Source organism: Homo sapiens, chromosome 17, assembly GCF_000001405.40.
Source record: "Homo sapiens chromosome 17, GRCh38.p14 Primary Assembly".
Lineage (NCBI taxonomy): Eukaryota > Metazoa > Chordata > Mammalia > Primates > Hominidae > Homo > Homo sapiens.
The window spans coordinates 46,487,873-46,509,597 of NC_000017.11; the positions used below are offsets into that span (position 1 = coordinate 46,487,873).

Consider the following 21,725-nt stretch of genomic DNA (forward strand, 5'->3'; position numbering starts at 1 on the left):
TAAGATTAATCTTAATCTTTATGACACACTGTTATTAGTCTGTATTTTCATGGCGTGTAAAATAACATATGGTATATGTAGTTTTCTGGGACTTGCTATTTATTAAATATTTTATTACCAAGAGTCATCTATATCAGGGATCCCCAACCCTCAGTACTGGTCCATGGCCCGTTAGGAACTGGGCCACACAGCAGGAGGTGAGCAGCAAGTGAGTGAGCCTCATCTGTATTTACAGCCACTCCCTATTGCTCGTGTTACCACCTGAGCTCCACCTCCTGTCAGATCTGTGGTGACATTAGATTCTCATATGAGTATGAACCCTATTGTGAACTGCATATCTGAGGGATCTAGATTGCACACTCCTTATGAGAATCTAATGCCTGATGATCTGTCACTGTCTCCCATCACCCCCAGATGGGACCATATAGTTGCAGGAAAACAAGCTCAGGGCTCCCACTGATGCTACATTATGGTGAGTTGTATAATTAGTTCATTATATATTACAATGTAATAATAATAGAAATAAAGTGCACAATAAATGTAATGTGCTTGGGCTGGGCATGGTGGCTCGTGTCTGTAATCCTAGCACTTTGGGAGGCTGAGGCGGGCGGATCACGAGGTCAGGAGTTCGAGACCAGCCTGACCAACATGGTGAAACCCCATCTCTACTAAAAATACAAAAATTAGCTGGATGTAGTGGTACGTGCCTGTAATCCCAGCTACTCACGAGGCTGAGGCAGGAGAATCGCTTGAACCCAGGAGGCAGAGGTTGCAGTGAGCCAAGATCGCACCACTGCACTCCAGCCTGGGTGACAGAACGAGACTCTGTCTCAAAAAAAAAAAAAATGTAACGCACTTGAAACATCCCGAAACCACCTCCTCCCCCAATGGAAAAATTATCTTCTATAAAACTGGTCCCCGATGCCACAAAGGTTGGGGACTGCTGATGTATATGATTTCTTGTAGCTAGACATCATTCATTTTCATGCTGAATAGCATTCCATTGTGTGAGTACCACAATTTATCTATTTTCCTGTCAATTGTGAATGTTACCAGTTTTTTGTTATTAAAAAAAGATTTGTCGTAAGAATTCTTGAATGAATTTCTCTTATTTAGGAATAAAATTATTAGGTTGTTGGATATATGAATGTCCCGCTTTAAAAAAACATTTCCCAGTGGTTGAACCAACACTGCCCCCAATACTGTGAAACATATCCTCTTGTTCTGTATCCTCTCCAACACTTGGTATTATCAGATTTATTTTTTATTTATTTATTTTTTTTGAGATGGAGTCTCACTCTGTCGCCCAGGTTGGAGTGCAGTGGTGTGATCTCAGCTCACTGCAACCTCCATCTCCCGGGTTCAAGCAATTATCCTGCCTCAGCCTCCCGAGTAGCTGGGATTACAGGTGCTTGCCACCATGCTTGGCCGATTTTTGTATTTTTAGTAGAGACGGGGTTTCACCATGTTGGCTAGGCTGGTCTCGAACTCCTGACCTCAGGTGATCTGCCTGCCTCGGCTTTCCAAAGTACTGGGATCTCAGCATCTGTTTGTTTTTAAACCTTCCCTAGTCTGTGCTTATGTGTTTTGCTTGTTTGTTTTTTGTTTGTTTGTTTGTTTGTTTGTTTTTTGAGATGGAGTCTCCCTCTGTCACCCAGGCGGGAATACAGTGGTGTGATCTCGGCTCACTGCAACTTCCACCTCCCTGGTTCAAGCAGTTCTCCTGCCTCAGCCTTTCAGGTAGCTGGGATTACAGTCACATGCCACCATACCCGGCTTATTTTTTTGTATTTTTAGTAGAGACAGGGTTTCACCATGTTGGCCAGACTGGTCTCAAACTCCTGACCTCAGGCAATCCGCCCGCCTGGGCCTCCCAAAGTGCTGGGATTACAGGCGTGAGCCACTGCGCCTGGCCTGTGTGGTTTTTAAATTAACTTTTTCTAGTCTACTAAGGTTTACTCAGACCTTTAGCAGTTGTTCTTGGATACTGACTAGGCCCAAAGTCCTCTTCTCATCAATGTATTGGCAAATACACTCACTTGCGATGTGATATGAGACCCTGAGGTTTACCTCCCAAACAGCAGGATGTCTGTTTTGAGAGTTTCCTGGCCAAGTGGTGGAAAGTACCATGGAAATGGAGTCTTCCTTGCTTCTTACTTAACTTGAGTTTGGACCATAGAGAAGTCATTCTTGTGTGGACCTCAGTTTACTCACCTGTACAGTATAGGATGGACTAGATGATCTAATGATCAGGGGATTGGCAAACTTGTTCTTAGGGCACCAATTAGTAAATATTTTAGGTTTTGCAGGCCACCTGGCTATGTCACAGCTGCTCAGCTCGGCCCTGGTAGGATGAAAGCAGCCATAGACAATAAGTAAACAAATGAGTGTGGCTGTGTTCCAATAAAACTTTATTTACAAAAACAGGCTGTGGCCGGCCATAGTTTGTTCACCCCATTTTTGAGCTCTTGACATTCTTTAGTCTGTGATTTCGATAATTAGTTTAGGAAAAAAGCTTTGACTTTCATAAATAATGCTTCTGGAAATCTAGTAAAACCTTTAAATTTTGGCCAGGCATGGTGGCTCACACCTGTAATCCCAGCACTTTGGGAGGCCGAGGCGGGTGGATTGCCTGAGCTCGAGAGTTGGAGACCAGCCTGGCCAACATGGCGAAACCTCGTCTCTACTAAAAATACAAAAAATTAGCCGGGCGTGGTGGTAGGCGCCTGTAGTCCCAGCTACTTGGGAGGCTGAGGCAGGAGAATCGCTTAAACTCAGGAGGCGGAGGTTGCAGTGAGCCGATATCATGCCACTGCACTTCAGCCTGGGTGACAGAGTGAGACTTCATCTCAAAAAAAAAAAAAAAACCTTTACATTTTATTTTTGCTTTTTCCCTTTATCAGGAAAGTAATGTAGAAAATTTAGAAAACCCAGAACATTAATATTTTGGTTCCTCTCATTAGGTAACCATCTTTGGGTGGACATGTGTACATACATACATACTTTTTTTTTTTTCTTTTGAGCAAAAAAGTACATACTTTTTCTTTTTTTCTCTTCTGTCACCCAGGCTGGAGTGCAGTGGCGCGATCTCGGCTCACTGCAACCTCCACCTCCCGGGTTCAAGCGATTCTCCTGCCTCAGCCTCCTGAGTAGCTGGGACTACAGGTGCTCGCTGCCACACCCAGCTAATTTTTTGTATTTTTTAGTAGAGATGGAGTTTCACCGTGTTGCCCAGGCTGGTGTCGAACTCCTGAGCTCAGGCGATCCGCCCGCCTCAGCTTCCCAAAGTGTTGGGATTATAGGCGTGAGCCACTGCACCTGGCACATGTATATGTATGTATTTTTTACAAAATTGGATGAAGTATAATTTATTTGCTAAATATTTTCACTTATGCCATGATATCTTATTTAATCTTTAATTTGTCTATGAAAATACCTGCTCTGCTAGGGGACTTCTAGTTGAAAACTCATTAATTTAAAAAATTAATTTTGAATTCAGCCACCTATTCTTTTTTCTAATTGTTTCTTGTAGCTTTTGCTTTGATTGGAGTAACTTTATTCTAGGAATAAAGTTGTGTCATCTGCAAACATGAATCATGTACACATCTGATTTTCTTATATTTATGTCTCCTTTTTCTCTTCAAATTACATTGCCTTTACCATTGATGGGAACCTGGGTAATAAAGAAAAAAGAAAAAAATTGCATTCCCTACCACCTCCTCCAAAACAATGTCAAATGTTAGTTATAATGATAGGCATCTTAGTATGCTATCCCAATTTAATGGAACTGTTGCAGATATTTAATGGTTAACTGTTGGTTTGAGACCTTTAATGTGTTGAGTATATTCACCTATTTCAATTTTTTTTCTGTTTAAGTTTTTTTTTTTAAAATCAGATATGGCTATTATATTTTGTTAAATGACATCTTAGCATCTTTTAAGATGATCATATAGTTTTCCTCCTGCATGCTACATATTAATTACAGTAGTGTATATTCATAGAATTATATTAGTAGATCTTATATTGATTCACCCTTACATTCTTGCAGTGAACCTCTCTTGATCATATTATTTTTTCATGTACTGTTTGACTTTATTTATTTAGTTTTGAGACAGAGTTTCGCTCTTGTTGCCCAGGGTGGAGTGCAGTGGCGCGATCTCAGCTCACCACAACCTCCGCTTCCCAGGTTCAAGCGATTCTCCTGTCTCAGCCTCCTGAGTGGCTGGGATTACAGGCGCCCGCCACTACGCCTGGCTAATTTTTGGTATTTTCAGTAGAGACAGGGTTTCACCATGTTGGCCAGGCTGGTCTTGAACTCCTGACCTCAGGTAATCCGCCGGCCTCGGCCTCCCATGGTGCCGGGATTACAGGTGTGAGCCATCGCGCCCGGCCCGTTTGACTTTTAAATAGGTATTTTAATTTTTTAGTTTATACGTGTACAGTGCATAATGTATTTAAGATTCATCTGTGTTGTTGTATCAGTAGTTTCTTTATTGCTGAGTAGCAGTCCTTTATATGAGTGTATCACAGTGCATTTATCTGTTCAATAGTTGAATATTTCAATTATTTCTAGTTTGTGGCAGCTATGAATAAAGCTGCCGTAAACATTTCCATAATGTTTTTTGTCTGAACACAATTCTTGTTTCTCTTGAGTAAATACCTAGGAGTATGATTTCTGGGTTGTATGTTTATAAGAAACTGCCAAAACTGTTTTCCAAAGTAGCTGTACCATTTTGCATTCTTACCTGCAAATGTATGAAGAGTTCCGGTTGCTCTGTATCCTCCCTAGCACTTGATATTTTCAGGGTTTTGTTTTGTTTTTTTTTTTTTTTTTTTTTTGAGATGGAGTCTGGCTCTGTCACCCAGGCTGGAGTGCAGTGGCGCGATCTCGGCTCACTGCAAGCTCCGCCTCCCGGGTTCATGCCATTCTCCTGCCTCAGCCTCCCGTGTAGCTGGGACTACAGGCGTCTACCACCACGCCCGGCTAATTTTTTTGTATATTTAGTAGAGACGGGGTTTCACCATGTTAGCGAGGATGGTCTCGATATCCTGACCTCGTGATCCGCCCGCCTCGGCCTCCCAAAGTGCTGGGATTACAGACGTGAGCCACTGCGCCTGGCCTCAAGTTTTTTTTTTTTTTTTTTGGCCACCTTAATAAGTATATGGTGGTAGCTTCTTCTGGTTTTAATTTCCTTGTCCCTAATGACTAATGGTTCTGAGCCTCTTTTTATGTGCATCTTTTGATTTGCCATCTGTATATCATTGTTTATGGAAAAATACTAAAATCTTTTTTTTTTTTTTTTGAGACAGAGTCTTGCTCTGTTGCCCAGGCTGGAGAGCAGTGGCACAGTCACCACTCACTGCAGCCGCCACCTTCTGGGTTCAAGCCATCCTCCCACCTCTCGGCCTCCCAAGTAACTGGGATTGCAAGTGCGCACCACCACACCTGGCTAGTTTTTTTTTTTTTTTTAATAGAGATGGGGTTTTGATATGTTGCCCAGACTGATTTCGAATCCTGGGCTCAAGCGATCTGCCTGCCTCGGCCTCCCAAAGTGCTGAGATTACAGGCATGAGCCACCATGCCTGGCCAAGATACCAAAATCTTTATTTAAGATGTTTAATTGGGTTGCTTTCTTTATTGTTATTCTTCTTTTATTTTATTTTATTTATTTATTTATTTATTTGAGACGGAGTCTCGCTGTGTCGCCAGGCTGGAGTGCAGTGGCGCGATCTTGACTCACTGCAAGCTCCCCCTCCCGGGTTCACACCATTCTCCTGCCTCAGCCTCCCAAGTAGCTGGGACTACAGGCACCCGCCCCCACGCCCAGCTAATTTTTTGTATTTTTAGTAGAGACGGGGTTTCACCATGTTAGCCAGGATGGTCTTGATCTCCTGACCTTGTGATCCTCCTGCCTCGGCCTCCCAAAGTGCTGGGATTACAGGCGTGAGCCACCACACCAGGCCTCTTTTATTTTTTTAGACAGAGTCTCGTTCTTTCACCCACGCTGGAGTGCAGTGGCATGATCTTGGCTCACTGCAGCCTGTCATTCCCCTCGACTCCAGGTTCAAGGTGATCCTCCCACCACCTCAGCCTCCGAAGTAGTTAGGACCACAGATGCATGCCACCATGTGTGGCTAATTTTTGTATTTTTAATAGAGATGGGGTTTCGCTATGTTGCCCAGGCTGGTCTTGAACTCCTGAGCTCAAGCAATCTGCCTACCTTGGCCTCCCAAAGTGCTGGGATTACAGGCATGAGCCACCATGCCTGGCCAATTTCTTACTGTTGGGTAGTAAGAGTTCTTTATATATTTTGGATATAAGTGCTTTGTTAGGCTGTGTGATGTTCATACATTTTCCCCATCTGTGCCTTGTGTTTCATTGTCTTAGCGGTGTCTTTTTCCCAGAGCATAAGTTTTAAATTTTGATGAAGTCTGATTAACCACATTTTTTCTTTTACACATTTGGTGTTCATCTAACAGCTCTACCTAACCCAGACCTTGCCAGACTTTTTCTGTAAAAGGTCAGATAGTAAATATTTCAGCCTTGCTGTCCCTGTTGCAGCTCTGCCATTGTAGCAATGAAAGCAGTCATAGACAATATGTAAATGAATGATAATGGCTGTTCCAATAAAACTTTATGAACACTGCAGTTTGAATTTCACATAATTTACAAATTATCAATTATATTGTTTCGATTATTAGAAAAACAGGTAGTGGATTGGCCATGGTTTGCTGATTCCTGGCCTGACAAACCCAAGTTCACAAAGATTTTCCTCTTTGATTTTGTTGTGGTCGTTGTTCCACACCTTCTTTTTTCACTGTTTCCTTAAGGTAGAGTGTACATATTTATAAGGGTACATGTAATATTTTGATAGATTGATACAGTGTGTAATGATCAAATCAGGTTAATTAGGGTATCCATCATCTCAGATGTTTATCCTTTTTTTTGTATTGGGAAGATAACAAATGTTCTAGCTATTTTAAAATATACACTAAGTTATTGTTGACTCTAGTCACCCTACTGTGCAAATAAAAACTGAAACGTATTCCTTCTATCTTGCTGAGTTTTTATGCCCATGAATCAACTTGTCTTCATCCCTACCTGCTTCCCAGCCCCCGGTAACCATCATTCTACTGCCTATCTCCATGAAATCAACTTCTTAATCTCTCATATATGAATGAGAATATGTGATACTTGTCTTTCTGCCCTTGGCCTATTTCACTTAACATAATGTCCTCCAGTTCTATCCATGTTGCTGCAAACAGATTTTATTTTCCAAACCTTAAGCTTTATAGATGACTTCACTTTTTAAATGGCTGAATAATATCCTCTTGTGCATGTATACCTCATTTTCTTTGATTTTTCTTTCTTTCTTTTTAAATAGAGATGAGTTCTCACTATACTGCCCAGGCTGGTCTTGAATTTTTTTGCTCAAGCAATCCTCCTGCCTTGGCCTCCCAAAGTGCTGGGATTCCAGGCTAAACCACTGTGCTCCTTTATGCGTTTTTTTGTTTTTGTTTTTGTTTTTAGAGACAAAATCTTGCTCTGTTGCCCAGGCTGGAGTGCAGTGGTGCGATCTTGGCTCACTGAAGCCTCCACCTCCCAGGTTGAAATTATTCTCGTGCCTCAGCCTCCCAAGTAGCTGGGATTACAGGCACCCACCACCACGCCCAGCTAATTTTTGTATTTTTAGTAGAGATGAGGTTTCACCATGTTGGCCAGGCTGGTCTCGAACTCCTGACCTCAGGTGATTCGTCTGCCTTGGCCTCCCAAAGTGATGGGACTACAGGCATGAGCCACTGCGCCCAGCCCCTTTGTGCACTTTTAAAAACATATCTTAGAATTTGTGATACATGTTTTATTTTCATTTTCATTTGGTTCACAATATTGTAAAATTTCTACTATGACTTACTCTTTGACCCATGATTTGTTTTAAAACGTATTGTTTAATTTTCAAACATTTAGGGATTTCCCAGACATCTTTGTTGTTGGTTTCTAATTTAATTCCATTATGGTTAGGGAACATACTCGTTATGATGAATTAAAAAAAAATGTAGAGGTTTGTATATGGCCTGAAACATTGTTTGTTTAGGTCAATGTTCAGTTTGTAATAGGAAAGATGTGTTCTGCTGCCGTTAGGTAAAGTGTTTCATAAATAATAATTAGGTCAAGTTGGTTGATCGTGTTAAGGTCTTCCCTATCCTTGCTGATTTCCTGTCTGCTTGTTCTAGTGATTACTGAGAAAGGAGTGTTGAAGTCTGCAATGATTGTTATGGGTTTGTTCTCTTTCTCCTTAAAATTCTGTCTGTTTATGCTTCCTGTATTTTGAGGCACTGTTATTAGATGCAGAAACATTTACAGTTTTGTCCTCTTGATTATTTGACCCCTTTATCATTCTGAAATAACCTTTATTTCTGGTAATAATCATTATATTAAAAACCATTATTTGGCCAGACATGGTGGCTCATGCCTGTAATCCCAGCACTTTGGGAGGCCGAGGCGGGTGGATCACCTGAGGTCAGGAGTTCGAGTCCAGACTGGACAACATGGCGAAACCCCATCTCTACTAAAAAGAGAAAAATAGCCTAGTGTGGTGGCACACGTCTGTAGTCCCAGCTACTCAGAAGGTTAAGTCAAGATAATCACTTGAATCCGGGAGTTGGATATTGCAGTGAGCCGAGATCACGCCACTGCACCCCAGCCTGGGAAGCAGAGCAAGACTCCATCTCAAAAGAAAAAAAAAAAAACAAAACAAAACAGGCCTGGTGCAGTGGCTCATGCCTGTAAACCCAGCACTTTGGAAGGCCGAGGCAGGTGAATCACCTGAGGTCGGGAGTTCGAGACCAGCCTGGCTAAGATGGTGAAACCCCGTCTCTACTAAAAATACAAAAATTAGCCAGGCACGGTGGCAGCTGCCTGTAATCCCAAGTACTTGGGAGGCTGAGGCCAGAGAATTGCTTGAAGCTGGGAGGCAGAGGCTGCAGTAAGCCAAGATCATGCCATTGCACTCTAGCCTGGGTAACAGAGCAAGACTCCATCTCGGGGAAAAAAAAAAAAATTACTTAATATTAATATAAAATTAGTGTTTTATATTAGTAGTATAATACTGTTTTTGACTAGTGTTAAAATGACATATCTTTCTCTACCCTTTTGCTTTTAATCTAGATATCATGATATTCATTTATTTTTTAATTTGTAAAAATAGAGATGGGGTTTTGCCATGTTGCCCAGGCTGGTCTTGAATTCCTGGGCTCAAGCCACCTGCCCACCTCAACCTCCCAAAACGCTGGGATTATAGGCGTGAGCCACCATACTTGGCCATATCATTATATTTTCAAATGGTTTCTTGTTTTTTCGTTTTTCTTTTAAATGTAATCTGACAGCGTCTTTTAATTAATGTGTTTTGGACCATTTACATTTAATATGATTGATGATGATTGGATTTAGGTTTCCTTTTTATTATTTGTTTTCTGGTTATTTCTTTTTTGGGGGGTTTCTTCTGTTTCTTTTTTCTGCCTATTTTTGGATTAACTGAATATTTTTTAGTGTTATGTTTTATTAATTGGCTTTTGGTTATATCTGTGCTGTGTTTTTGCTGTAGGAATTACAAAATATATACCTAACCTACCTACTTAGAGTTAGCATTTTACCTCTAAATAAAATGTAAAAGTATTGCAAACATATAGGTTTCTTTATTCTAGCCCCCCCTTATAATTGTATATATGTGTGTGTGTATGTGTGTATATATCTATATACACTTTCAATGTATGTAGATATGTATCTATACTTTCAGTGTATATTATATCTACATGCATACATTGTGTATGTATGTAGATGTATATCTACATACATTGAAAGATATATATCTACATACATATACAATGCATGTATGATACCTTTGGCTACTACATCCTTCTTAAATTTCCTGTTGCCACTTATGACCTGATTTCCTTGACCAGTTATTCCTCCTTCAAACATCCCTCTTACATGTGATAGTCCTCAGCATTTAGTTTCCCCAACTTTCCCCTAATTATCAGTTGACTCAATTACCACCAAAATATCAATGACTTTTTTGAGACAGAGTCTCACTCTGTCACCAGGCTGGAGTGCAGTGGCACGATCTTGGCTCAGTGCAACCTCTGCCTCCTGAGTCCAAGTGATTCTCCTCCCTCAGCCTCCCGAGTAGCTGGGAATACAGGTGTGTGCCAACACACCCAGCTAATTTTTGTATTTTTAGTAGAGACGGGGTTTCACCATGTTGGCCAGGATGGTTTCAATCTCTTGACCTTGTGATCAGCCTGCCTCAACCTCCCAAAGTGCTGGGATTACAGGCATGAGCCACCGCGCCCGGCCAAAATATCAATGACTTCTAGATCCATTTTCCTACCTAGACCTCTTTTCTAAACTCCAGATATATATTTCCAACTGCCTGTGCTGTCCGCCATAAACTCCACATTGTAGGAAATAGAAAGGAGTTATAAAAGTTTAGGTTCAAAGCAAAATTTAAAAACTCATAAATGAGACAAAATTTTGTGATGATAAAGGCTATGGTCCACAATGAAGATATGAAAGTAATGAACCTTTCTATAAAATGTATAGGTGATAGAGCTGGTCCCCAACTTTAAGCCTTTCAGCGATTCAAGTAACTACAGAACATCGTTAAAGTACTGAGAGAAATGTCAATCCAGAATTCTATATCCAGCAAAAATACCCTTCAACAATTAAGGCAAAAAGAAAAAGAAGAAAGACATTTTGGATGAAGAAAATCTAAGAGAATGTGTTGGCGGAAGTTCTGCTCTAAAATAAAAGTAAAAGAAGGTCTTTAGGCCAAAGGAAAATTATACCAGTGGTAATACTAGAACTTCAGAGATAAAGAGCAGCAGAAATGGTATCTGGGAAAATTTAAAAATGCAAACGGTTGTTTCTCCTCTTAAGCTCTTTAAAATATGTATAGTGGTTGAAAGCAAAAGTTAAAACACTGCTGAGACTTTCAATGTATGTAGATATACGTATATATATCTACATATATATACATATATATGTATATACATGTAGAGGTAATAATGGTAGCTATTTTATGGAGCTGATCTGAGGATAAAATGAAAGAATGCATTTTAAAGTGCTTAGCACAATGTCTGGCAAATAGAAAGCACTCTATAGGCCAGGCATGGTGGCTCACGCCTGTAATCCCAGCACTTTGGGAGGCCTAGGCAGGTGGATCACTTGAGGTCAGGTATTTGAGACCAGCCTGGCCAACATGGTGAGACCCCGTCTCTACTAAAAATATAAAAATTAGCCGGGTGTGGTGGTGGGCTCCTGTAATCCCAGCTACTTGAAGTGAGGCAGGCGAGTGGCTTGAACCTGGGAGGTGGAGGTTGCAGGGAGCCAAGATTGCACCACTGCACTCCAGCCTGGTCGACAGAGCAAGACTCCAGCTCAAAAAAAAAAAAAAAAAAAAAAAAGGTGGGGGGACAATGTTACTCTTCTTCCTTCTAGAAACATACATTTTATAGAAGTTGTTTTTTGAAGTCTAGAAGTCTGAAAACGCAGGAGTCAACTCTGAAAAATCTACAGTGGTTTCTGGGGTTCAATCTTGGCATGACTTTACCCCTGCATCTCTGCCCTCAGCAGGTAGTTTTGTTTATGGGTGTCATTGGTTGAACAGATAATTGTTTTAGTTGCTACAATAAATAAAACATGATCTGTGCTCTAAAGGAGTCAACAGATGAGCCAGGGGGGCATGAGTAATTGCCTGTAATATAATTGTGCTCACGCTGTCATGGAGGACCGTACAAAGTGTCAGAAGCACAGTGCCAGGAGGCACAGCAAAGGGTAGTAGAGGTGACATTTGAGCCCAGCCTTGAAAACTGTCTAGGATTTCTCAGCATTTCAGCAAAGTAAGGCAATTTCTGTCTAAAATATATAGGCAAAGTTTTTATAAAAATACGAGAAATTAATTAAATAACAGATTATGACCACAATGCAGATTTAAAAACTAAGGTATGATGAGTGCCGTTGACCGGTTCATCCAGACAGTTCAGAGAACAGAACATCCATGTAGATCCTTCTTGTATTACAGAATACAAAGGAGCGGAAAATTTTGCCTCAGTAACTGCCAGGTCATTCTAATTAAAGTACCTATACATTGTAATATAATTCCTCCATTAAGGTAACAGCCAATCAGGTGGTACAGAGTCTGTGCCATTCAGTCAAGAAATTCACTCCCTTAACCTAGACTGTGCTGGAAGTTCATTGACAAATTTTGTTCTTTGGTTCTCCATTTTTCTTCAGAATTCATGCAGACCACTTGACTTCCTTAGCATTTTCTTTTGTGGGCGTATATTAATGTCTTTGGTTAAGCTTCAGCTTCCGTTTGCATCAATCCTGTTGTAATCGTGCCTCCTGAGGCATCTTTTTGCTTCCCTTGCATCAGTTTCCAAAATCCTACTTTCTGCTTGGTAAGGGGAGTATCCATTTTCTTTAAAGCAGTGGTTTTCAAACTTGCCTGCACATCAGAATTATTTGGGGAGAAGGATAAAAATACAGATTACTGAGCTTCACCTGGGATTCTGTAGATTTGAGTTGCATTTGGGATTACTTTAAACAATTTACCAGATGATTTTTGTGGCACCTCCACTTCAGTTTTAGGAAGGACTGTTTCGAGGCAGCTTTTCAAACTTTAATGACCATAGAAATCACCTGAAGATTGTGAGAAACTGCAGATCCTGATTTAGTAGGCCTGGGTTTAGGCCTGAGGTTCTGAATTTCTCTGAAATGTGATAATAGCAAATCCCTTGTTGAGTAGCAAGGTTGTTTTTTGTTTTTTTCTTTTTTTTCCAATATCTTCATGACATTCAATGAGTAGCAAAGTTTGAAGATAACTTCTGGAATTTCATCTAATGTGTATTAATTTTTACTCATCTGGATCTTAGGGGAAATAACCTATCAGATTATAGGGAAGTGTTTCTCAAAGTATGGTTCCCCAAACAGCACAACCTGGGAATTGTTAGAAATGCAAGTTCTGGGCCGGGCACTGTGGCTCATGCCTGTAATCCCAGCACTTTGGGAGGCTGAAGCGGGTGGATCACCTGAGGTGAGGAGTTTGAGACCAGCCTGGCTAACATGGTGAGACCCCGTCTCTACTAAAAATACAAAAAAAATTAGCTGGGCATGGTGGTGGTACTTTTTAAAATTTTTTTAGAGACAGAATATCCCTGTGTTGCCCAGGCTGGTCTGTAAATCCTGACCTCAAGCAATCCTCCTGCCTCAGCCTCTTAAGTAGCTAGGTACAAGCCACCATGCCCAGCTATATTGACTTGTTTTTGAGACGGAGTCTCTGTTGCCTAGGCTGGAGGGCAGTGGTGCGATCTTGGCTCACTGCGACCTCCGCCTCCCGGGTTCACGCGATTCTCCTGCCTCAGCCTCCTGAGTAGCTGGGACCACAGGCATGCACCACCATGCCTGGCTAATTTTTGTATTTTAGTAGAGATAGAGTTTCACCATGTTGGCCAGACTGGTCTTGAACTCCTGACCTCAAATGATCCACCCGCCTTCGCCTCCCAAAGTGCTGAGACTACAGGTGTGGGCCACCACGCCTGACCATATATTTACCTTTATGTGAATTTAAAATGTGTGGGCGTGACCAAGTCGTCTGCCGGCTGTTATATAAAGGAGACTTTATCATCAACATGCTCATCATCAGTCACAAACTGCCTATTTGGAACTCCCTTCAGTTCTCAGAGGATGGAAACATTCTTTAAGCGGCCTTGTAGAAATCCTATTCCATGTTAACATGCCAACCAATTTTACTTTCCCAGAGCCACAGAATGATATCTCATTGTATGCCTCAATTCAATCACCTTTCCATTTTCAAGGACCGATTTCAATTCCTGATTGGCTACTTGATCTGACTGCTTCCTGCTAATCTTGTTGCCTATTGTCTATATTCCATTTCTCATTGAATTAACCTTGATCAAATCTGAGAACTCTGCTTAGTAATGACTCCAGGTATACTATACCCACTTTTGTAGCTTATTCAACACCCTCTTCAATCCTGGTTCCACTTCCTGTGACTGAAATGATTACCTGTGAAATATTATTTAACTTTTGGACGATGATGTGTTTCTAACCTGTGACCATTTCACATAGCCACTCAAATATGGTAAAGGTATGGTAAAGATGATGAAACAGTTACTTGGCATCATTTTGTAAGTAATGAGTTTTTAGTGCGCTTTGGACCTTGAGACCACTTCATAAGCTTTAGATTTTGAGAATTTCACAGCATAAAGCTCATCGCTGATGCAGTAATGAAGGAAATGTTCTACAAGTTAATAGATGAGTGAGAGGAGAGGGCATTCATATTAGATTTATTTACTTACTGAACTCAGAGCCTTGGGTTACTACTTGACCCCCACTGTTATCTAGTTTAAGGGTCCTTTTATTTTTTGTTTTTTCGAGGTGGAGTTTCACTCTTGTTCCCCAGGCTAGAGTGCAATGGCCCGGTCTCTGCTCACTGCAATCTCTGCCTCCCAGATTCTCCTGTCTCAGCCTCCCAAGTAGCTGGGATTATAGGTACCCACCACCACGCCCTGCTAGTTTTTGTATTTTTAGTAGAGACAGGGTTTCACCATATTGGTCAGGCTGGTCTCGAACTCCTGACCTCAGGCAGTCTGCCCACCTCAGCCTCCCAAAGTGCTGGGATTACAGGCATGAGCCACTGCTCCTGGCCTTAAGTGTTCTTTTCTACTTTAGCACATACACCTAGTTGCTGTCTTTTTTGCTTTTTATAAATACAGAAAAGAGAATAATGTTTTAAAATCAAGGAAAGGCCTAAGGCACCTGTGAGGGTTTTTTGTTTTTGTTTTTGTTTCAGTGAAATGAAGGGAAATGGTCACCAGCAAGAACTGTGGCAATGTTATCCAAGGTGACAACTGTCTGTACCACCCAGGGGCTCAGAGCCCTTCTGAAGTTTCCTAGATGTTCCGAAAGTCTCCACTGTGACTCATGTTACAGGCTGGTCTCCGTGGTAGCACTCAACGTTTAAAAATTAGTCTTCATTGCCAGGCGTGGTGGCTCACGCCTGTAATCCCAGCACTTTGGGAGGCTGAGGTGGGTGGATCCCGATGTCAGGAGATGGAGATCATCCTGGCTAACACGGTGAAACCCCATCTCTACTAAAAATACAGAAAATTAGCCGGCAGTGGTGGGGGGCGCCTGTAGTCCCAGCTACTCTGGAGGCTGAGGCAGGAGAATGGCGTGAACCCGGGAGGCGGAGCTTGCAGTGAGCCGAGATCATGCCACTGCACTCCAGCCTGGGCGACAGAGGGAGACTCCGTCTCAAAAAAAAAAAAAAATAGTCTTCATTTCTCCTTCCCAACAAGCGTTTCTCTTTCTCTTCAGTGGGAAAAAGTAATTTCATTTTTTACTTGCTCATTGTTTTATTCATTCACTCAATCAACAGACCATCTATCCTGTATTGTATGCCAAGAACTGTGCTTTGTTCTGGGAATGAAAAAAGAATAAGATATGTTTTCCTCTGGCACTTATGGAGCTTATAAACCAGTGACAGAGGAAGGTGCATAAACAAATCAACAAAGAATTAACTTTACTATTCTTATTAATTTCTAATACAATAAATTTGACTATTTGTATCATTTGAGTTTCATGAATATAATCATATTCTACACTTACAAAATGAAATAGACATAAGAAAGAACTGGTGATGTAAGAAATTCACAGAAATGTGTAAAATATTTCAAGAATTAACACTCAGTAGATATTTGCATTGTCAAAGAAGCTTATACATGCAGATGAACCTCTAGTTGTTTTAGTTGCTTGTAAAATGTATAGAGGTATGTGTATTTCCTCTTTAAGCAGGGGTAACTTGGGGTGGGGGATGGGTGGGTTCATCTTATCTATTCTTCAGGTCATGTTCTCAAGAAGGAGCTACTGAATGGGAAGACTGAAACAATTTCTTTTCTTTGCACAGTTGGTATTGATAAATCTCAGGTGTATCCAAAATAAAATCTCTGGCAGGCTGTGATATTTGTGGGTCTGTCTCTTGTGACTTTAGGTTCCTCTTGGCAGCAGACATAAGGCAGTTGCACATCAGGCCCTTGCCTGAAACAGCTCCTGATGCCAAGAACTGGTGAATTACTACTTTGGTTTCAATGGATGGTCAGAAAGGATCATCAGGATAAACTTTGTGGATTTTCTCTCACTAACCACGCTCTCCTTTCAACATTGAAATTCTAGACTTTAGACAGAAGTATTGAACTGGGTTACAGGGAGGGGATGTGAGAGGCCCCCTGCCATTGAGGATAAGTGGACATGTCTGAATTGGCCTGCTACCTAAAATTAATAATCTCAATCACTTGGATGGTGGTGTCCATAATTTTCTCCACTGTTTGTGTGGCATATAATAAGTAATGGTTGCACCTAGCAATTCATTTACAAATCTTACTTGATTTTGAAGCCATAGAACACCTCAACTGTTAGCTTGAATGACTGGAGTTTAGTTTTTATTTCTCAGAACAAAACAGTTTGAAGCCTAATTAACATCCTCGGAAGGAACTTAACACTAAAACTCCTAACAGCTTCAGTTTTCTGACCTTGAAGAAAGGGAAAATGAAGAGACCATGGTGCCACTTCCGAAGCAAAGCCTGAAGTTCTGTGCTTTAGAGGTGGTGTTGCCATCCTATGATTGCAGGAGTCTGGCCTTGGCTTGGTGGAGGAGCCTGTGGATAAGGCGAAGGAAGGTCTGTTTTCATTGGGGGTAGAGGAGGGTAAGGAGTTGAAATGGGAAGGATCTCTTTTTTCTTGCTGTCTAAAACTTGTCTTTTCAGACACATATCAAGCCTTTCCCTCTCTGAGCTACTGAAGTCCTGGGCAGAGGTTTTCTGTCTTACAATACAGACTTTTACCTTAGGCAATACCTGACAGAGCCTTTAAATAAGTAAATAAATTGCTTTAATAAATTGATTTAATACATTGATTTATTAATTAATAAATTGATTTAATACATTGATTTATTAATTAATAAATTTATTTAATAAATTGATTTATTAATTAACTAATTTTGAGAGAGAGTCTTGCTCTGTCACCAGGCTGGAGTGCAGTGGCGTGATCTCGGCTCACTGCAACCTCCGCCTCCCGGGTTCAAGGCATTCTCCTGCCTCAGCCTCCTGAGTAGCTGGGATTACAGGCGCCCACCACCACACCCAGCTAATTTTTGTATTTTTAGTAGAGATGGGGTTTCACCATGTTGGCCAGGATGGTCTCGATCTCCTGACCTCGTGATCTGCCTGCCTTGGCCTCCCAAAGTGCTGGGATTACAAGTGTGAGCCACCCCACCCGGCCAGAACCTTTAAATTTAAAATTGTACAGTGTACTTCCTGCCAAGAAGCGTAGGAGGAAGAAGGAAGTAATGTTTTTCCAGTTTTCGGTTAAGAACTTGCTTTGTATTAAAATAGTCCTTCAAGTCTACAGCCATACCACCCTGAACGCACCCAATCTCGTCTAAAATAGTCCTTCAAATATGTATCTCTTATAGCCTTCAGTTATCCCAACAAAATTATCTAAAGATTTGTTTATCTATTTATTATTATTTTTTAGAGACAGGGTCTTGCTCTGTTGCCCAGGCTAGAGTGCAGTAGCATGCTCATAGCTCATTGCAACCTCAAACTGCTGGGCTCAAGGGATCCTCCCACCTTAGCCTCCTGACTAGCCAGGACTACAGGCGTGTGCCACCACATGTGGCTAATTATTTTTTCTGGAGATGGGGTCTTGCTGTGTTGTCCTGCCTGGTCTCAAACTCCTGGCCTCAAGTGATCCTCTTCCCCCAGGATCCCAAGGTGCTGGAGTTATAGGCATGAGCCACCCACCATGCCAAGTCATCATGTAAAGATTTACAGAAAGTTTTGTGTAAACATTGTCTTTTTTTTTTTTTTGAAGCAGAGTCTTGCCCTGTCGCGCAGGCTGGAGTGCAGTGGTGTGATCTCGGCTCACTGCAACCTCCACCTCCCAGGTTCAAGTGATTCTCCTGCCTGACACTCCTGGGTAGCTGGGATTACAGGCATGCACCACCATGCCTGGCTAATCTTTGTATTTTTAGTAGAGATGGGGTTTCATTGTGTTGGTCAGGCCGGTCTCAAACTCCTGACCTCGTGATCCATCTGCCTTGGCCTCTGAAAGTGCTAGGATTACAGGCATGAGCAACCGCGCCCGGCCCATTCAGCCTTTTTTTTACTCGTAGAAGGGCTTCAGTGGAACAAGAGTCTACTAGAGATACTAGAAAGGGTACTCAATTGATAACTGACGTTGAGATTTTTTTCTAGTATTCATGGCCCTCAGGCTTAGGGTTTGAAGTCAGAGGCAGGGCTGTAGGCTAATGGAGGGGAGTAGGCTTTCATGGATGATGCCCAGGGAGGAGCCAGATTATCTGTACCAAACCTTTTTTGTTTTTTTGAGACAGAGTCTTGCTCTGTCGCCCAGGCTGGAGTGCACCGGTGTGATCTCGGCTCACTGCAACCTCCACCTCCCAGGTTCAAGCAGTTCACCTCCCTCCTGCCCACCACCACACTCAGCCAATTTTTAATTTTTAAAAAATTTTTTAGTAGAGACAGGGTTTCATCATGTTGCTCAGGCTGGTCTCAAACTCCTGACCTCAAGTGATCTGCCCATCTTGGCCTCTCAAAGTACTGGGATTACAGATATGAGCCACTGTGCCTGGCCTCTTTTTGAAAATAGTCTTACTCTGTCACCCAGGCTGGAGTGCAGTGGAATGATCTCGGCTCACTGCAACCTCCGCCTCCTGGTTCAAGCTATTCTTGTGCCTCAGACTCCCAGGTAGCTGGGATTACAGGTGTGTGCCACCACACTCGGCTAATTTTTGTATTTTTAGGAGAGATGGGGTTTCACCACGTTGGCTAGGCTGTTCTTGAACTCCTGGCCTCAACCCGCCTTGGCATCCTAAAGTGCTGGGATTACAGGCATGGGCCACCGTGTCCAGCCAACAAAGCTTTTTTTCAGTGAGTGATTCCAGCCCTTGATGCATAGGAGGGTGGGGTCCATAGGAGTGTAGCCTTAACTGATGAATTAAATCTCTGGGTGATGTGAGATATGTGCCAGGTTCTTGGCTTATGTCTCCCTCTAGTACTTTAGGAACTTCCCAACTAGATGGAGGCAGTAAAAATGGGCCCTGCCAGGATGTACCTATAACAGAGACGTTCAACCATACCCTTGTGCTGTCTGCCTTTAATCACGAAGATTATGAGCTAAGATTCGTGGATGCATTTTTATTTTTTAACCAACATGTAGCAATGATCACTCAGATAGGCATCTTAAATCCATTAGTTTGGGTTGGATTTAAGACCGTTGTCATTCCTATGAAAGGGAAGATAGCCCAGATTGCTATTGAGAAGGCTTTGTCAGATGCATTCCAGAAACTGTTGATTGTGGTTCTAGGTAAAACTTTCTTAATCGTCGTTGAAGTACTTCAGTTTCAGTGAGCAAATAAACTCATTTTGAAAAGTTAATTGGATAAAAATATCGATATCTAAAACACTCCCTAGGATGCTTTCATTTGCTAAGTTCTTTCACAGCGACAGGCTCAAATTTGTTCTTTGTGACATTTGTAGAAAAAATGACAGCAAATATTGTCCCTAGTTTATAGCTATAAAAGGACTTGCCTCAGGTCACACAGAAAATGTTTGAGGCAGGTCTTCTTTAATTGCATGCCTATCGTACAGAATAGTGATTATAAGCCCTGGACACATGGATTTGAGTCCTAACTCTGTCTCTTAGATTTTTGTATGCAGTTTTAGGTCTTATGGCCAGAGAGATTTGAAGATATTTAATATCTCTAAGCTGCAATCTTTATCTGCAAACTGGGGTTAGTAATCCAATCAACCTTATTGCTGATATTGTAAGAAAAAATGAGATGACAAGTGTAAAAACTCAGAACTATACTTACAAGGTAAGCAGACAAAATATGCTATTGTTGTGATTGTTTTCTCTCTGAATAAATAAACTCTGCTGAAGAATTTATTAGATTATGTTTCTCGAATCGAGAATTCAGTTCCAGCTCTCATTTCTGGCACTGACATATTGGCCAAATATGATTCTTATACAATAATCAGCTGCTTTGCTGTGAGCCTTGGAAGTGGTCATGCTGTTGAATGGCACTGCTTGTATTTCCTATTCAGTTCTACAGTGGCACAAATGTCATAGCCTGTGCCCAAAGGAAACCTGGTGTTTAACGAGTCCCTGAACAGAGTTGCCTTTCTGCTTCACAACCCTGAAGGCTTAGAGACTGAGATTGTAATTAAGTTACTACAGACCTTTATTTGCTTGTAAGAGGTGGCCCTGATTGCTCTCAGCTTTCCAACCTGGGCAGCCCTTCTAGTGAAAGTCTTACTTCCTTGGTCATCAACTGTCAAGTCTGAGTAATGACATTTAATAACCAAGCTAAATGTGTGGGTTGTCTACCCCTCCCTAGTATGCAAAGGTATCCCTTGCACACACTCACTTCTTAGACCAAAAGCCTTATAGTTCTAGTTTGCCTTGAAGGAAATTGTATTGTCTATAGAGTATGTGGGCCATTTTCTGCCCGTAAAATGTTCAAATGTTTTCTCTCTCTAAAGCTTTGTTCATTGTATCTGGTGGAATTTTGGTTCTCAGGGAGTAGACACCTAGCCATGCTTCTAATGTGAAGTGTCTACTAGCCCAGTGGTCTCTATTTTGGATTTGAACTTACTTCGACCCCCCACCTGGTGCCTTACCTTTTAATCATGTTATGATTGAACATTTTTATTTCCACATTTTTTATTTCTTACGTTATTATTCCTTAGTTCCTATCTGTAAGATCATAAAGTCCTTTGAACCAAACACAGTTGATATTTCATACATATGTTAAAAACTGAGCTGTGAGACCAGACATGATGACTCACGCTTGAAATCTCAGCATTTCGGGAGGCCAAGACAGAAGGATCACTTCAAGCCAGGAGTTCGAGACCAGCCTGGAAAACAAAGCGGGACCATGTCTCTAAAAAAGAGAATTAGACGGGCACAGTGATATAGTGCCTGCTACTCTGGAGGCTGAAGCAGGAGGATGACTTGAGCCCAGGAATTCCAGGCTACAGTGAGCTATGATAGTGCCACTGTACTCCAGCCTGGGTGACAGAGTGAGACCCTGTCTAAAAGAAAAAAGAAAAACAAAAATCGAAGTGTATGATGAAGAGATGAGGAAACTTTCAGGAAAATGCTTATTTCCTGCTTTTAGAAACTAAAAGAATGTCTCATTGTGGGTTGCTACCATTATATGCAGGAAGTTTTGGAATGAAAAAGATTCTGAATTCATCCTTGCTAACTTTATTTCAGAAAGTGGTAAAATAGCTATGGAGTACAGACCCAGTGAAGAGATTGTAGATGTCAGATGGGAAGAAGAACTACACGGTTTAATATAAGTATGTGGAGATAAAAACTCAAAGGTAACAGGGCCGGGCACAGTGGCTCACACCTGTAATGCCAGTGCTTTGGGAGGCTGAGGCGGGTGGATCACCTGAGGTCAGGAGTTCAAGATCAGACTGACCAACATGGAGAAATGGTGGCACATGCCTGTAATCCCAGCTACTCGGGAGGCTGAGGCAGGAGAATCGCTTGGACCCGGGAAGCGGAGGTTCCGGTAAGCCAAGATCACACCATTGCACTCCAGCCTGGGCAACAA

General features: G+C 41.7%; 2 protein-coding genes and 1 pseudogene across 9 annotated transcripts in view, besides 1 other annotated feature; 2 read left to right on the forward strand and 1 right to left on the reverse strand.

The window, feature by feature from the left end:
* Nucleotides 1-21,725, forward strand: part of LRRC37A2 (leucine rich repeat containing 37 member A2) — a 676,337-nt gene that overhangs the window by 115,081 nt on the left and 539,531 nt on the right. The window contains exon 1 of one of the 4 annotated variants that reach the window (XM_047436146.1): nucleotides 16,639-16,758. The exons of the other annotated variants lie outside the window; for them this stretch is intronic. Within the exon in view, the coding sequence (XP_047292102.1) occupies nucleotides 16,639-16,758 (120 nt within the window). Of the gene's footprint in view, nucleotides 1-16,638; nucleotides 16,759-21,725 lie in introns of those variants that run through there. 4 annotated transcript variants of the gene reach the window in all.
* Nucleotides 3,823-4,324: an enhancer, noted in NCBI's record as "H3K4me1 hESC enhancer chr17:44569061-44569562 (GRCh37/hg19 assembly coordinates)". NCBI's record gives its function as "activates a minimal SCP1, AML or CMV promoter by ChIP-STARR-seq in primed H9 embryonic stem cells {active_cell/tissue: H9 hESC(primed)}" and the evidence as "EXISTENCE:reporter gene assay evidence [ECO:0000049][PMID:30033119]".
* Nucleotides 12,418-21,725, reverse strand: part of ARL17A (ARF like GTPase 17A) — a 79,433-nt gene continuing 70,125 nt past the window's right edge. For 2 of the 5 annotated variants that reach the window (XR_934475.4, XM_005257439.6), the window contains one exon: nucleotides 15,419-16,737. The gene's annotated coding sequence lies outside the window, so the exon portion shown is untranslated. Of the gene's footprint in view, nucleotides 12,507-15,418; nucleotides 16,738-20,806; nucleotides 21,019-21,725 lie in introns of those variants that run through there. The other 3 variants (XR_934478.4, NM_001288812.1, XR_934479.3) reach the window with 2 other exon arrangements.
* Nucleotides 16,074-21,467, forward strand: RDM1P2 (RDM1 pseudogene 2; annotated as a pseudogene).